The sequence below is a fragment of the Homo sapiens genome, chromosome 5 (assembly GCF_000001405.40).
Source record: "Homo sapiens chromosome 5, GRCh38.p14 Primary Assembly".
NCBI lineage: Eukaryota > Metazoa > Chordata > Mammalia > Primates > Hominidae > Homo > Homo sapiens.
In genome coordinates this window covers 65,969,146-65,987,109 of record NC_000005.10, presented here as the reverse complement: position 1 = coordinate 65,987,109, position 17,964 = coordinate 65,969,146, and the positions used below count along the sequence as shown (strand labels likewise).

At 40.7% G+C, this 17,964-nt stretch overlaps 1 protein-coding gene across 18 annotated transcripts in view, besides 1 other annotated feature; it reads right to left on the bottom strand.

Moving 5' to 3' along the window:
- ERBIN (erbb2 interacting protein) overlaps positions 1 to 17,964 on the bottom strand; it is a 155,972-nt gene that overhangs the window by 95,437 nt on the left and 42,571 nt on the right. For 11 of the 18 annotated variants that reach the window (XM_047417376.1, XM_047417378.1, XM_047417380.1 and 8 more), the window contains exon 2: positions 2,256 to 2,355. The exons of the other annotated variants lie outside the window; for them this stretch is intronic. The gene's annotated coding sequence lies outside the window, so the exon portion shown is untranslated. The remainder of the gene's footprint in view (positions 1 to 2,255; positions 2,356 to 17,964) is intronic. 18 annotated transcript variants of the gene reach the window in all.
- Positions 2,151 to 2,769: an enhancer, noted in NCBI's record as "H3K27ac-H3K4me1 hESC enhancer chr5:65280169-65280787 (GRCh37/hg19 assembly coordinates)". NCBI's record gives its function as "activates a minimal SCP1, AML or CMV promoter by ChIP-STARR-seq in naive H9 embryonic stem cells {active_cell/tissue: H9 hESC(naive)}" and the evidence as "EXISTENCE:reporter gene assay evidence [ECO:0000049][PMID:30033119]".

The following is a 17,964-nucleotide window of genomic DNA, read 5'->3' as shown; positions in this document are numbered from 1 at the left end:
TGCCGGTTAATTCTGGAAAAACATTTGCTTTCCTGATAAAAGGGAGCAAATACATCTGACACCACCACTCTCCCATTTTTCTAGCCTCGTATGTGTACACAGTATCTAGTGCTGCAACAACCATCCTATTACCGTAAGTCAACAAGGATGAGGATTAATAACCAGCCAATAAATAAGACTGACAGAGGAAAAAAACAAAACAAGCTGGGGTTTCAAACAGCATTGCTAAGCAATTAATGCTGAATTAATGCTAACTATTCTCTATTTCTGGATTTCTTGGTATGTGGGAAAACTAATTCCCTTATTTGCTTTATTAATTATAGCTGAATTAATGCTAACTATTCTCTATTTCTGGATTTCTTGGTATGTGGGAAAACTAATTCCCTTATTTGCTTAAACTATTGCTATGTTTTCTTTACTTGCAGCCAACACATTCCAAAGTGAGACAGCCTAAAACACAAAATAATACTCTTAATAAAAAGTACATACATCATAAATCATCTTTTTCTTAAAAACTGAGAGTAATATCCATTTATGTGTTTCAGAATTTCAGAATTGCCCTAAATACATCAAACTATTTGTCGCTATGCCAAATGGTATAGGACTAACGTGTTTAACGTGTGTGTTTAACGTTCTCTAAGAATTCTACATATACTGCATGCCACAAAAAACAACAACAACAAAGCTGTGTGTACAGCAAGCAAAGCTGGCCACCAAATCTTCTGTCACTCATACACACTCCCACAGACATGACAGTCTGGTGGAACGGAGCTGCCACTAAACTGAAATGGAGTAAGACCATGGTAGGAGCAAGGCAGAGAGAAGAAAGATGTTTGTATTCAAAAACTTTACTTTGAAATACTTGAAAGATATCTGAGTAGGACACTGAGTAAGCAGCTGGATATAGGCATTCAGAGATGTGGGAAGAGATCCAAGCTGTGGATATAAATCTGAAAGTCATCTGCTTATAGATGGTATTTAAAGCAATGAAATAAGATGAGATCATCAAGGGCAGGAGGGCAGACAGAAAAAGAGAACAAGTTCAATGGCTGAGCCCCAAAACATTATAGATGACCAGCAAAGGACACTGAAGAGAAGCAGCCAAGTGAGGCAAAAGAAAACACCCCACTCCAAGAGAAAAAGTGTGATATTCTAAACGCCAGGCGGAAAAAAAAAAAGTTTCAAGGAGGAAGATGTTATCAACTCTGTTAATAAGGACTTAGAATGGCCACTGTGTATTAATGTGAAAGTCATTGATTATCTTGACAAAACCACCTCTGGTTGGTGGGGCAAAACACTATTTGGAAGGGATTCAAGAAAGAACAGAAGAACTAGAATCGACAACTCAGGTAGTTTTGCTATATAAAACATTAGAAAAATCAAGTAGTTGCCGGACCCGAATATGAATGAAGAGATACAACAGCAGATTTGTAGACAGATAGATAGAAACAATCTAGTAGAGAAAGAGAGGAGCTCATTGATAATTTTCGTAAGTAGGATTTGGGCAACCATTCATAGACTGCCCTAGTAAACTTTGCCACCAATTTAAAAAGCTGCTCATGAGGAAGAAAAACAAATCTTGGCTGTAATTGCAACTAGCTAGTTAATATTCACTCGTTATTTTTGAAAAATACAGATACTATACCCTCTCCCTAGAGATTCTGATTTAGTAAAAGGTACAGTATAAAATTCAAAATTCTTTGTCTTAAACAAAATGTCGGGCCGGGCGTGGTGGCTCACGCCTGTAATCCCAGCACTTTGGGAAGCTGAAGTAGGTGGATCACAAGGTCAGGAGATTAAGACCGCCTGGCCAACATGGTGAAACCCCATCTCTACTAAAAATACAAAAATTAACTGGGCATGGTGGTGCGCACCTGTAATCCCAGTACTCAAGAGGCTGAGGCGAGAGAATTGCTTGAACCTGGGAGGCACAGGCTGGAGTGAGCCAAGATTGCGCCACTGCACTCCAGCCTGGGCAACAGACCGAGACTCCGTCTCAAGCCAACAACAAAAAAATGTCATGTGATTCCTTTTTCCAACACAGTTTCAACAATAATCAATGCATGGTCAATCTTATTTCATCTATACCATAGCCACTATTATTTAGCCTTCCCCATCCACTACTTGAGATTGTTTTGACAAAAGTCTCAGTTTGAGAATTACTATAAAAATTGAAAAGTAAAATCAATATAAAGGTTTTTTTTTTTTTAAATACAGCACATCTTCTATTTACCTAAAGAGATCACAAGACATACCTGGCTAGATTTTTTTTCTTTTTCAGTGAGCAATAAAGCTTAATTAACCAGTACTGCGAGGTCACCTTCATGGATTAGCATCCTGCTGTGAGCTGAAAGACTGAACAAGCAGAAGCATAAGCCAAACCCATCCCTCCACGCTCCCCACTGTGCAGATGGACTTACTGAGGCTCCAGCATACACTGCTTGCTCAGCACTTTATCTATTTCAGGCCAAAGTGTCAGCAGAACTGATACCCACAGGGCATCCAAGTCCACATCCAGACCCAGTTCCCTCTGCGGCCCTCTCTTAAACCGAGCCACTGACTGCTGATGGTGAGTTCCCAATCATGGGCTGCACTGAGGGTGCCAGAGGCCTGGGTGGGCATGAAGCCTGGTGGGTATGGAGTGAAGGGGATTTGGGAGTGGCATCTAGAAGGTCAGCATGAGGGGCAGAGAGGAGAAAAAGAACCCATGGCTTGCAGCCAGCAGGGGAAACGGGCCCAGTGCACAGACGGGGCCCCTAGTGAAGCCCATCCAGGCCAACTGCCCTCAGTGTAGATCTGAGTGGAACAGGACAAGACTGATAAGTGAAGAAAATGAGAGAAGCTGAGTGGGCAGGGGCCCCACTGCCTCCTGCCTGCAAGGAGGCCACGCTGGGTGTGCAAACGGAATAGCAAGTACACAAAGATCCTCACTGAGGGGGCCCGAAGAGACATGAGGCCAGAGGAGTCAGTTATTCCTTGCCGGCCAATATGTTAGGACCAGCTGCTCCATGGAGACGATCTGGTCCACTATTTCCCAGAAACTGGAATTTGCTGCTTGATACCTCCTCTTGGGGTAGAGCTGCCACACGGGAAGCAGGTGGGAGAAGGGCAGCTGGCTGGGGGACAGTGGTTCCCGGGTGTGCACTGGCATCTACCACATGTGCACTGTGATGCTAGGTTCATATGTGCTGCCCTGGGAGCTTGAGCACCTGGCCCTTTCTCTGTGCAGGGGACTGAGGCGCACAACCACAGTCACCCAGGTCCTCCCCTTGTCATCCTCATAGATGCCAGGTCTCCAGATCCACAGACAGTTGGGGGGGGTGCCCTGAGATGCGGAGAAGCTTTGGAGGCCATGGCAAGGCTGCACTCTGGGGTCGCCTGGAGGCACACATGTATACTCGGCTGGATTTAAGAGCAATCTTATGTGGTGCAATATTTCATTTTGTAAAAATGTAAAACAAAGCCTCCTCAGGCATGCCCACACCTATTAGATGGTATTTAGTGGTTGTGTAAGATCATTTAGTTTAATCACAGTTATCACAATGTTGCTAATCTGTATTTGGTATATTTGTGCTTAGTTCCAAGTCATTTTATGAACATTATTAACCCCTTACTGATAAGTACATAAATAGTAAACAATTAAAATAATAATATGAAAAAGAATAAAGATAGGAAGGTAAGAAGAGTAAAAAAAAAGTTTTTGAACTTAAGTAATGAAAAAATTATAAACGCTGTGTAAGAGCATTTATAAGGACAACAGTCAAAAACTAAATATATATAAAATGTGATATGCCTACAACATATACAAGAAATAAGGAAAAGATGTTGATGGCTAGATCATACTTATAACTAGAAGATCAACATCAATGTCTGGTCCCATCAGCCTAATTCTGATCAAGAAGAAAGCTGGGTATTATTTCAATATGAACAGTGTTAAAATTTTATATCAAACTATAGTTAGCCTAAACATGTCTAAAAATGTATTACTGTGCAATTAAGTGGTAGACATATACACTGAAGTTACCAAGGAATCCTTACATTTGCAAAATTTTCCATTTTTATATTTTTAGATACAATTTACATAATGAACACATTCTAAGAGTATAGATGGTAGAGAAATACAATCATATAACCAGCAGGAATCAAGACATGGAACATTTCCATCACCCTACAAGGTTCACACTTGCCCCTTCCCAGTCAACATCCTGACCAAGACAGCCTGTCCTGAATAAAAGTACATTTGTGTACAAGCGTTATAAGAACACATGCTTCTGTTCTCATAGGTAAATATATGGGAATGAAACTGCTGAGTCATAGTCTATAAGTAATTTAATTCTACTCAAAACTATTGTCTTACAAAGTGGTTTTATTATTTAACACTCCCAGCAAATAGAATTCCAATTACATTCTCACCAACACTTGGTACTGTTTTCTTAATTTTGGCCTATGTAATTGCAGTATCTGGTTTTTATTTTGCATTTTTCTAATTACAAATGGCTTTGAGGATCCTTATCTGTATCTAGATCTTATTTTGATGAGACAGATCATCAAGCCTCATACTCTAATGGAATAAGACTTTTGGAAAAGAGTGATCAAATTTTGTATATGAGAGGAAGGCAAATTACTGTGATCGAGAGTACACTGGGTTGAAAGACAATTCTCCATAAACATTTCACATTCCTGCATGTTCTCGGTCCTCTGAGCAATGTCATTTACATAAGGTGTTTGTATAAAGACATTCTAGGATAATAACACTAAGCAAGATTCAGAGAGTCCACCTTCCCCTCCCCAGAAAAGATTTGCTTATACTCCAGAGGAGAGGATGGACAGGTTACCAGTAGTCCTAAATAAGATCAGGTTTTCCAATTTGGGGTTCTTCTCCTGTAACGTACACTACTGCATGAGCAGGTACTACAGGACTTTCAGTATGTCACCCTGTGAAGATTAAGGCTCAAAGAACTGACACAAGACATTGCTCTAGTCACTGCTTTTGTGGTAATAATCTCTCTTTGTCTCTAATCTAAAGGTATTGTTTTCTGGCAGGCTTAACTTTTTAGCTTGTAAATAGGGTAAAATCTCAGATTTCACTATTTCTGACTTAACCACTGTAGACTGAAAAACATGGCCAGAATGTTTTACACCACCTAAAATCATGCCATAGAATCTATTTCCCCAACCCCATGAATTTGGGCAGGCCTTGTGACTTGTTTACATCAACTCAATGCAGCATAAGTTTTGTTGGGCAAGTGACAGTCCCTATGCCTCATGATTTGCAAAGTCCACCTTTACCTTCTTTGAATGTTGCCCTGAGAATACAATGCCACAAAGAAGCCTGAGATAAAAGACCACATGCTGATTCACATAATTCAGAGAAATAGTCAACTGCTATCGTTTTAAGCCAAGTGGTGGAGAGATTCTTAACACAGAAACAGATACCTAAAACAATTGTTTTTTTTTTGTTGTTTAAAAATAACTAAAACAAAATTTTTAAATAGTTATTTCCTTTTTATCCTTGTTAACAGCTATAGAATCTGTACCATAAGCACCTCCCTCATTTTTTATACCAGTAATCTGCGGATTTTTTTATTCCCCTCAGTCAATCTTGCTAGAGGCCTATCAATTGTATTGATCTTTTCAAAGAGGAAATGTTATATTTTGTTCATTTTCTTAGAGTATGCTTTCTGTTTCATTGATTTCTGCTTTCTTCTCTATATTTTCTGCCTTTCACTTATTCTGAATTTCTTTTTCTGTCCTTAGAATAAAACTTTCTAATCCTTGTTTCTTTATTAAACTTTAAAGATATAAATTATCTGAGTACTACTTTAATAATTTAAGCACTGCATTTAATAATTTTGATGCTGTCTTTTCTGAATTTATTTAATGTCCTTTCTAATTTTCCATTTGATTTATTCGTTTACTGATGGGTTGTTCAAAATTGACTTCCTTAATTTCAAAATATTTGGTAATCTACCAAACCTCATTTTGTTACTGATTTCTATGTAATTCCAATGCAGTCAACAGAACAGTACTATCATTTCAAGCCTTTGAAATATGTTGAGACTTTTGACGCCCCACGTAATTCTTAGTGAGAGGTTCCACGTGTACATGAATGTCACATACTGCCTCTCTTGGGTATAATGTTCTACAAATGTCAATTAGATAAAATTGGTTGACAGTTGTATTCAAATCTTCTATAGCCTTACCAATTTATGGCTTTTTCTGTAAGTTATCGAAAAGTATAGGCATCTCTTAACTATAGTTGTAAATTTGTCTATTCTTTTATATTTATTTCATGTATGTTGGAGATTCATTATACAGTGAATAGATATTTAGGGCTCATATCTTCTTGGTGAATGGATCCTTCTCACATTACGAGGTTTTTTTTTTCCCGCTAGTAATCCTTGTCTTTTAGTATTTTGCCTGATGTCACGATAGTCATAGGAGCTTTCTCTTGATTAGTGTTAATATGGTATATATTTTCCATGGATTACTTTTAACCAAATGTCTTTACATTTCAAGTACCCATTTGTAGGAAGCATAATGTTGGGTCCTTTTAGAAATCAAATTTGACAATTTCTGTTTTAATGGTGGGCTTAGATCTTTCATATTTTATGTAATTATTGCTATGACAACTTAAAACTATCACATTATTATTTATTTTTGCTTTGTTTTTGTTTTTTTTGAGACGGAGTCTTGCTTTGTTATCCAGGCTGGAGTGCAGTGGCATGATCTCGGCTCACTGCAACCTCCACCTCCCAGGTTCACCCGATTCTCCTGCCTCAGCCTCCTGGGTAGCTTGGACTACAGGCGCCCGACACCGCACCCAACACCACACCCAGCTAATTTTTGTATTTTTAGTAGAGACAGGGTTTCCCCATGTTGGCCAGGCTGGTCTCGAACTCCTGACCTCAAGTGATCCCCCTGCCTTGGCCTCCCAAAGCACTGGGATTACAGGTGTGAGCCACCACACCCAGTATCATATTTATTTTCTATTTGTTCTTTGTTCTTCTTTTCTTACCTTCTAATAAAGTTTTCCTTTTACTCCATTTTATCTCCTTTTGTGGACTTTTAGCTATCCTACATTTTTGGTTGCTCTAGAAATTACAATATACATTCTTCATTCATCATAGCCCATTTTCAAATGATATTACACCATTTCACATATAACCTAAGTACTATAAAAGAGTATGTGTATATTTACTTCCAACTTTTGTGCTCTTATATTTTACTGATACATACTATAAATTCGATAATACATTGTTATTTTTGTCTTTGTGCTATCCACTGTCATCGATATAAATTTAAAAACTAGAAGATAAACTTTCATATTTATTCACACATTTACCATTTCCTTCTGTCTTTATTTCTTATCATAGAACTGCTATTAAGGCTATTTGATCAATTTTTAAAATTTAAGATATTCTATTTTCCAGTTCCAGAATATGCATTTGGTTTTTTGGCATGTCCATTACTCACCTGAAAATACCCAATCCCCCATATATTATCCTGCCAATTGCCTTAATGTTCTTTTCTCCTAATTCCAATAATTGGGTCATCTATAAGCCTATACAATCACCCTTTTCCAGGTCTTTGTATGTTTCATATATTTTATAATATTCTAGACACTGTAAGGTAATAGTCAGAAATTCAGTATAATTTTTACTCATTTGGTTTGCGGGTTTTTTTCCAGACAGGGTCTCAGTCACCCAGGCTGAAGTGCACTGGCACAACCTCAGCTCACTGCAGCCTCAACCTCCCAGGTTCAAGTAATCCCCAACCTCAGTCTCCCAAATAGTTGGGACTACAGGCATGCACCACCACCACAGTCAGCAGTTTTTTATTTTTTGTGGAGACAGGGTCCCACTATGTTGCCCAGGCTGGTCTTGAACTCCTGGGCTAAAGCAATCCTCCTGCCTCCACCTCTCAAAGTGCTAGGATTACAGGCATAAGCCACCACGCCCCACTATAATATTGTTTTAAGTGTTATTTCCCAGGGAGTGCAAGGTCCTTCTACTTCTCCCAGGATAAAGGCTGGAAATTCAGATTTCTAGTAGAGTCCATTTGAGCTGGCAGCAGCTTTAATTAGACTCAATTCATCTGTAATCAGCCCAAATCCCAACCTCCCCATCACCGACCCACAGTCACCTTTTCGATCTTGTCAAATCTGAGGTAGTAGAAGCTTGGGTTGCAGTTCCAAATACTTTTTTGGTTCAGTTTACCTTCAGATTCAAGTCCAACAGGGTCCCAAATTCCAAGCACTCCTTGAATTTGCAGGACTACATGATTTCTTTATGCTTTCAATCCTCTCCTCTCCTGCGACTTCTTGGCAAAATGTAACAGGGACAGACCCAAGCATCATGCTTAATTATTTGATTTTTGCCTTTGAGGCTCTGTCAGAGTCCCACATCTTCCCTAAAGCCCACACTGTCATTCAAGGATCCTAATTCTTGAATGCCTTTATCCTATCCCTTCAATGTCTCTCCATATTATCCGCCTATACTGATACTAGGCACCTGCCCCCAGGCGGGCAAACTGCCACATTCACCTACACAGAACTCTTGTTATTTCTGAAATTCAGATCACTAAGGCTTCCTTGAGTCCACCAATTTTTGCTAGCCCTATTTTACAAAGTGTAGATCAAGGTTGAAGAATCTGTGGAATCCTCTTCCATCTCAGTGTAGCAGGACTGATGTAACTTAGGAAACAAGAGAGCCTCAATTTTTTTTTCAACAGAAAAAGTCGTTCATTCCACAATTAGAAATATGACTACAAATGCAAACATCTCAGACAGAATTAACCATGAAAAACTGACATTAGACCATTCTATAATCTGAAGGAAAAGGTGGGAGAGAATGAGGAAAGAAACAGCTCAATATAGGCTCATAGCAATACTTGGAAAAGGTGAAACTGCATAAAATAAAGACTGGAAGTCTGTGGGTAAATTTCACCTGTTCCTAGCATAGAGTTGACTTGGCTATTTTCAACAATAGGTCAATAAAAGGTGTGCAAAAAGACATTTGTGACAATACAGATCACAAATATGTATATTCACAAAGCTGTTGCTTAATATGACAGGGAAATTAAATCATGACATTGTTTCCAACCTAGAAATAGCTTTCTCGCTCCCTCTCCCTCTCCCTCTCCCTCTCCCCTAACCCTCTCCCTAACCGCGAGTGATCCGCCAGCCTCGGCCTCCTGAGGTGCCGGGATTGCAGACGGAGTCTCGTTCACTCAGTGCTCAATGGTGCCCAGGCTGGAGTGCAGTGGCGTGATCTCGGCTCGCTACAACCTCCACCTCCCAGCCGCCTGCCTTGGCCTCCCGAAGTGCCGAGATTGCAGCCTCTGCCCGGCCGCCACCCCGTCTGGGAAGTGAGGAGCGTCTCCGCCTGGCCGCCCATCGTCTGGGAAGTGAGGAGCCCCTCTGCCTGGCTGCCCAGTCTGGAAAGTGAGGAGCGTCTCTGCCCGGCCACCATCCCATCTAGGAAGTGAGGAGCGCCTCTTCCCAGCCGCCATCACATCTGGGAAGTGAGGAGCGTCTCTGCCCGGCCGCCCATCGTCTGAGATGTGGGGAGCACCTCTGCCCTGCCGCCCCGTCCGGGATGTGAGGAGCGTCTCTGCCCGGCCGCCCCGTCTGAGAAGTGAGGAGACCCTCTGCCTGGCAACCACCCCGTCCGAGAAGTGAGGAGCCCCTCCGCCCGGCAGCCGCCCCGTCTGAGAAGTGAGGAGCCCCTCCGCCCAGCAGCCACCCCGTCTGGGAAGTGAGGAGCATCTCCGCCCGGCAGCCACCTCGTCCGGGAGGGAGGTGGGGGGGTCAGCCCCCCGCCCGGCCAGCCGCCCCATCCGGGAGGGAGGTGGGGGGGTCAGCCCCCCGCCCGGCCAGCCGCCCCATCCGGGAGGGAGGTGGGGGGGGGTCAGCCCCCCGCCCGGCCAGCCGCCCCGTCCGGGAGGGAGGTGGGGGAGTCAGCCCCCCGCCCGGCCAGCCGCCCCGTCCGGGAGGTGAGGGGCGCCTCTGCCCGGCCGCCCCTACTGGGAAGTGAGGAGCCCCTCTGCCCGGCCACCACCCCATCTGCGAGGTGTACCCAACAGCTCATTGAGAACGGGCCATGATGACAATGGCGGTTTTGTGGAATAGAAAGAGGGGAAAGGTGGGGAAAAGATTGAGAAATCGGATGGCTGCCGTGTCTGTGTAGAAAGAGGTAGACATGGGAGACTTTTCATTTTGTTCTGTATTAAGAAAAATTCTTCTGCCTTGGGATCCTGTTGATCTGTGACCTTACCCCCAACCCTGTGCTCTCTGAAACATGTGCTGTATCCACTCAGGGTTGAATGGATTAAGGGCGGTGCAAGATGTGCTTTGTTAAACAGATGCTTGAAGGCAGCATGCTCCGTAAGAGTCATCACCACTCCCTAATCTCAAGTACCCAGGGACACAAACACTGCGGAAGGCCGCAGGGTCCTCTGCCTAGGAAAACCAGAGACCTTTGTTCACTTGTTTATCTGCTGACCTTCCCTTCACTATTGTCCTGTGACCCTGCCAAATCCCCCTCTGCGAGAAACACCCAAGAATGATCAATAAAAAAAAAAAAAAAGAAAAAAGAAAAGAAATAGCTTTCTCATATAATCTTTCTTTTTTTGGGGTGAGACAGTCTCATTCTGTCACCCAGGCTGGAGTACAGTGGTGCGATCTCAGCTCACTGCAACCTCTGCCTCCCGGGTTCAAGCAATTATCATGCTTCAGCCTCCACAGTAGCTGGGATTAAAGTGTATGCCACTACATATAGTTAATTTCTGTATTTTTAATGGAGATGGGGGCTTCACCATGTTCGCCAGATGGTCTCAAACTCCTGGCCTCAAGTGATCCAAGCACCTCAGCTTCCCAAAGTGCTGGGATTATAGGTGTAAGCCACTGTGCCCAGCCTCTCATACAGTCTTGACTGGATTCTAAACTCTTCCCCATAAGATACGATCCTGTAGCAGGATTAATTTCCCCACAGGTATTCCACCAGTTCACTTCCTCATGTTTATGTCTATGCCAGAGTACTTCCCAATCACCTTTGTTTCTCCTAGTAACTTGTAACAACTTCTTTTCCTCCATGAATTCATTATGCATGACTTAGGGAGCCCTAAATGGAAACAGAAAAAGGCAGTCAAATTAACTAGAAAGAACCCTAATTATGATGGGGAATATTAAGTCTATCCTTACAAAGAGAAACAGGCTAAAATACTCTAAACTGATTGTGACCACACACAGCAATATGCTATACCAAGCAGGTATATTTTGTCTCTCATCTTAAAAAAGAATCTCTCCTGAAACCACATCTCTCTCTACAGCTACCAACCCATTACTCTGCTGCCTTTTACAGAAAAATTCCTCAAACAAGTTGTCCACATGCACTGACTTCAATTATTCTATCAAGTGTTCCTAAATCCACTCCAATCACACTTTTGTCCCCATCATTTCAAGAAAAACAGTTCTTAAAACATCTAAATTCAATAGACAATCTAGCCGGGCGCAGTGGCCCACACCTGTAATCCCAGCACTGTGGGAGACCAAAGCAGGTGGATCACTTGAAGCCAAGAGTTCACAACCAGCCTGGCCAACATGGTGAAAGCCCGTTTCTACTAAAAATGCAAAAATTAGCCAGGCGTGATGCCGGGCACCCATAATTCCAGCTATTCAGGAGGCTGAGGCAAGACAATCGCTTGAACCTGGGAGGCGGAGGTTACAGTGAGCCGAGATTGCGCCACTGTACTACAGCCTGGGTGACAGAGTGAGACTCCATTGCAAAAATTAAAAAATATGGCTGGATGTGGTGGCTCACGCATGTAATCCCAGCACTTTGGGAGGCCGAGGCAGGCAGATCACTTGAGGTCAGGAATTTGAGACCAGCCTGGCCAACATAGTGAAATCCTGTCTCTACCAATAATACAAAAATCAGCTGGGCATCGTGGCACATGCCTGTAATCCCAGCTATTCGAGAGGCTGAGGCAGGGGAATTGCTTGAACCCAGGAGGCAAAGGTTGCAGTGAGCCAAGATCACACCACTGCAATCCAGGTCAACAGAGCGAGACTCCACCTCAAATATAAATAACTAAATAAAATAAATTCAATAGACAATCTAAATTCACTTCTCCCCCTTGCTTTCTTAGTAGCTTCGCTTCCCCTTACTTTACGAGATTTCTTCATTTAGCTTCCATCACACCACACATCCTCCTAGTTTTCTTCCTATACCACTGGTCAAACCTCAGTTTCCTTTGCTAGTTGCTCCTCTTTATGCCAACCTCTTAACACATTCCTAATGATACAAAGAACATATATCTTGGCTTTCTTTTCTATATATACTCACACCTTTGGTGATCATCCAGTTTCAATTCCCGAACTCTTATCTACCTTTTAAATACTAAGTACTCTAATGACTGCTGTCTTAGTTTGGGTTCTCCCAAAAGCAATGGCTGAGGTAAGAACCTGAGTAAAAGCAGTCTGTCTAGAGAATGACCTACAGGAGCAGGAAGAGTTAAGATGGGGATGGAAGAAAAGCCAATATAAGGAGTAGTAACTATCAATGTCATCCCTAAAGATAACAGGGTATCAATCTACTTAAACCTCCCAAGAAGCATATAGATGGTCTCTGAAAATTCTCTCCAGATAGGATGAGACGTGAGCTTTTATCCATCCAGTATGATACAGGAGCAGCACTGCCTCTATAGGCATTACCTCTGCCTCACTACCAACCTATGCTTGCTTTCTAATAATCAAAGGTCACAGGACAAATAAGAAGTCTTAGACGCAAAGTTTAATAGCATTTGCATAACATCAATGGTTCTCAATGAGTGTAAGGACACCGCAGCAGGTCCACAAATGTCAAAGCTCCACATCATAATAAGTCCACTGTCAATATACCTATTGAGAAAACACTTATATACATATGGATTTTTGTTTTTGCTGCAATAAAACTCCATGGCCCAAGGGTACTCTCAAGTAGCTGGGACTACATGTGTGCACCACCACATCAGGGTTATTTTTTTAGTTTTTATTTTGTAGAGATGGAGTTTCGCTATGTTGCCCAGGCTGGTCTCAAACTCCTGGCCTCAAGCAATCCCCCAGCCTCAGCCTCCCAAAGTGCTGGAATTACAAGCATGAGTCACAGCGCCTGGCCTCAGCCCACTTTTATGTATTAGCACAATAGATTCTAAACTGATTCCCTAATTCTATTTAGTCAGCACCTAATTTTTTTCCTTAAAATCATTTATTTTACTATCTCCCTTTCCCCTTTAAAAACCTAAAAAACATTTCTTAATCCCCAAACCTCCTTAATCTATTCCCAATTTGCCTTTATACAACTTTACTACTGAATCAAACCCTTTGTTCAGGTGAGGCCTTTTGCCTTACTACTGACTCCTCATTCCACCTACCCAATTCAAGACACTAATTACTTCTTCGGTTCTTTAAGTGGTATTTTAAATGAAAGTGACTATAAATAAAATGTTTTTATGCAGTGTGTCTACTGCCCTAGAAACTGAACCAGACCTGTTGAAAAGCATGACCTGATTTGAGAATCCTAGATGTGAGTGCCAGAGTGCATGAAATTCCACCATTAGTTATTTCTTCCGGTCCCTCTTCATACATCCTCTATTAAAATGCAAATTAATCTGGAAGAGACAAGGCCCTAATTTCTTTTTTTTAATTTATTTTATTATTTTATTTTTATTATACTTTAAGTTCTAGGGTACATGTGCCCAACGTGCAAGTTTGTTACATACGTATACATGTGCCATGTTGGTGTGCTGCACCCATTAACTCGTCATTTACATTGGGTATATCTCCTAATGCTTTCCCTCCCCGCTCCCCCCACCCCACAACAGGCCCCAGTGTGTGATGTTCCCCTTCCTGTGTCCAAGTGTTCTCACTGTTCAATTCCCACCTATGACATGTGGTGTTTGGTTTTTTGTTCTTGGGGTAGTTTGCTGAGAATGTTGGTTTCCAGCTTCATCCATGTTCCTAGAAAGGACATGAATTCATCCTTTTTTATGGCTGCATAGTATTCCATGGTGTATATGTGACAAGGCCCTAATTTCTTAAGGTGAATTTCTTTATAAGTTTATTCTTTCCCCTAAACTGAACAGAAGGAACAGAAATAAAAGAACCAAAAGGAAACCGAAAAAAACGTAGGAATTGGCAAAACAATGAGAGGTCAGGTTGAAGTTCTCATTTTCCTTGGGGTTAATTTAGGCTGGGAATGATTAGGAACACCAAAAACCTTCCAAAGAAAGCTAGATCACTCTCAACACCTTATTACAGCAGGATTTTCAAAGGTTAATTATTACCGCTTATAAGTAAAGCTTTAAAATACCACCACTTGATGACAATCTTATCTTTAAAAAGTTTCACTTTTTGTAGCATTCAGATCTATTTTAGGAATAAAATCCATAATCCTGTAAAACTATCCCAAACATCCCTTAAGGCTGAAGATTTATTTTGTAAGTGAAATAGTATAACAGATATGGAGAGGAAAAGAAGAAAAACAAAAATTTAAGCTTCTACTTAACCAAACATTATTTTGAAAGTACTTAATTTTAAGTAACAAATATTCTTTAAATTTTTCTGTAGAAACTATGGGGTGCTTAGTGCCAAGTTCATTCACATACATGGCACTCCCCATCTCTCTAAAGTACTTTATGCATGTTGAAATATAATCAAAGGTCACAGGACAAATAAGAAGTCTTAGATGCAAAGTTTAATAGCATTTGCGTAACATCAATGGTTCTCAATGAGTGTAAGGACACCGCAGCAGGTCCACAAATGTCAAAGCTCCACATCATAGTAAGTCCACTGTCAATATACCTATTGAGAAAACACTTATATACATATGGATTTTTGTTTTTGCTGCAATAAAACTCCATGGCCCAAGGGTGAGAGACAATCTAATATTTCAATGCTAAGAGTCTGGCAATACTAAGATGGACAATAAATATCCCCCAAAAATGACATAGCAGACCCCCTTGGAATAGCCCCCCAATTCACAATGACTCCTCCTTTCTCTGAGAAAAGGTTACCACAAATCCATAAAGCACCTTTGTACAAATTTTAAAACTGCAGCCCTTATAGGCATACAGCTTGGCAAGCAGCATGTGGAATAAGCAACCTGCACAACATAGAAGCCCTGTTGTGAGAGCTATTCTCCCTTTTGAAAGGGGTGGCCCTCTAACATCTATTTTGGTACCAGGTAACACTGCCCTCCTAGATGGAGCAGATTGGAAAGGGAACGGGCACCTGACTCAAGCCAGTCAATCATTTGCTCTCTCCCCAGGATATGTAAGTGGGACTGAAAGATAGCAAGTCTGTCCCTGCATTTAGCGGAACTGTAACATCTGAAGCCATAATCTATGGAGCTGCCGCCTTCTACCATATGGACATAGAAAGAGAATGCTCATCTGAAGAGAGAAAAATAAAATATAAAATATAAAAGAGTGATGGTTTTGGACTCCTGATGGCCTTCCAGTTATTTGTTCTAATTCTTTTCTGAGACTAACTGCATTCTAGCTGTTGAGTGTCCATAAGAAACTATTACATCCTTATTACCTTATTTTTACTGGTTTTGGTTACTTTCATCCAAGGAGTCTCATTAATATACTTTACTTATACCAAAGCTTTTGAGCTGATATCTGAAAGTTCAAATAAGTGAAAATTCATATATAAATATGATCCTCCATTATTTTGCAAATCACTCTGTCTCTATCTTTCTACCCACGCTCAAGGGCTCAATACCTATTCTTCTAAAAAGGGAACTTTGTGTTCCAAATTTAGGAAATCTAAACCTGAAAACCTGATGCAATACAGGCTTTGAACACTGAAAAAAAAAAAAACCAGCATGCACAAACAAGATAAATCTGCAATTGTCACAGTCACTTCTAGACACCTGGTTGTCTTTTTCATTACACCTCAACCAATTTAGATTTATCATCAAAACGACTAGACTTCCTGGGCACAAAAAGGTCAAACCTAAACACTTTGGTAGCAATTCTGGACTAAAATAACAAAAGGAATCAGTCAAATTAACGTTGAATGACCATATTTGGCTTTCTGATGCTAAATACAACAAATACAAATATGACAAATATGTCAGAAAGAAAACAAACATTTGCTGAGTTACTACTAGGTGCTGAACACTAAAGATACAAAGATAAATGGTCCCTGCCTCAAGGAGTTTCTAATTTTAGATAAAACATGATAGCCACCCAGCCCAGTGGCTCACACCTGTAATCCCAGCTGAGGCAGGAGTTGAGGCCAGGAGTTTAAGACCAGCCTGGGCAACACAACAACACCCTGTCTCTAAAAATAAAAATAAAAATAAAATTAGCCAGGCATGCTGGTGTACGTCTGTAGCCCCAGCTACACTTGGGAGGCTGAGGCAGGAAGATTGCTTGAGCCCAGGAGTTCAAGGCCACGATGAGCTATGATTCACGACTGCACTCAACTCTGAGCAAAAGAGCAAGAGCACGTCTTAAAAAGAATATAAAAAGTTACAAATGTGGGGAAAAAGGAGACCAAATAGTCTGGTGGTAAGGGAAAACAGTCAAATAGGACAGAATAGAATATATAAACCAAAGTGTAGAATCTCTCTACATACAGAAAAATAGTAGTTAGTGTTGCCAGCAGACAAACTTCGGTAGGATAGGCTTTGAAATATATAGGAATGACGTTAGGGTAGTCAGCAGGGGGCTAGAACTTAAAAGCTTTAAATACCATACTAAGTAATATAGACTTTGACTGGTAAGCAGCAGTTTTTAAGACTTAAAAGCAAAGGAGGGACATAGTCTAATTTAAGTTTTAGACAGATCACTCAGTTAGCAATGCAGAGCTAAAAACAATCCTGATACTATTTAGCCAGTAGTATGACTTATAAAATATGAGGGGAATGTCCCTATACCATCTCTTTCACTGCTTGGTTTAATAAACAAAAGTCATTAATAATTTAACAGTGTAGTCTTCATACTTCACTAGATTATGTAATTTGACGTAGACAATTAAAATGTCATGCTTTCTTCTGTTGCTGATTCAATTACTTTGGGGCAAGGTAACAAAAGTGAAACCACTCAATATACGAAAACCAGGTCTTTAAAAAGAGAAACATCTGAAGTTTATCATGCTTAATATTAAAAAACAATTAATAGTAATTCCCTAAACAAAAATGGCAAAACAACTAAATCTGATTATTGAAAAATAACAATATATGACCACCTTGGAACAAACAGAACTGAAAAGCTAAGATATTTGAACAATTTAGGAAGCAGTATCTGAAACTACTGTTCCTAGAAAGCTATGTTTATATGTGGTTTTTATTTGTTTTTGCTCCCTGGGGGAGCAGGGGGTGAGTTTTAGAGTGACACAAAATCAAGCTGTGTCAATGCAACTAGTTAAAACCTGCATATTTCAACACTTGACAATATAATTTTAATAGAAGGAATTCCCAGATAACAAAAAGCCTACCAATAAATCACTGAAAATTCAAAAACAATATAGCTGAACACAAAAGTAGCTGGCTTTGGAAATAATACTGCTTTACATTTGAGTCTAGATTCCACCATTTATCATTCTGTAATCCTGAACACACTACCTCTTCAATCTCAGATTCTTTATGTTAAAAAACAAAGGGCATAAAAGCTACATTTTCGTTAGCTGTTCTAAGAAACTACGAATGTCCAACACAAAGCCATATTGAGTGGCTTTACTTGTACTGCCTTTCCCAAAAGTAACTGAATCAGCAACAGAAAACATAATTATACATAAGCTGAATAAATAATAGTTTTTCCTTTCTATTGAAGATACATAAGAGTAACTTGTTTCTTTGAAAATATTTTATATATACTATTCATACTCACAGGTACTTTTTGTGTTTTCCTGTTTACCTGTTTTATTGGGTGTGGGGTGACCATGGCTTGCTGGCATGCTTGTTCTCACATTAG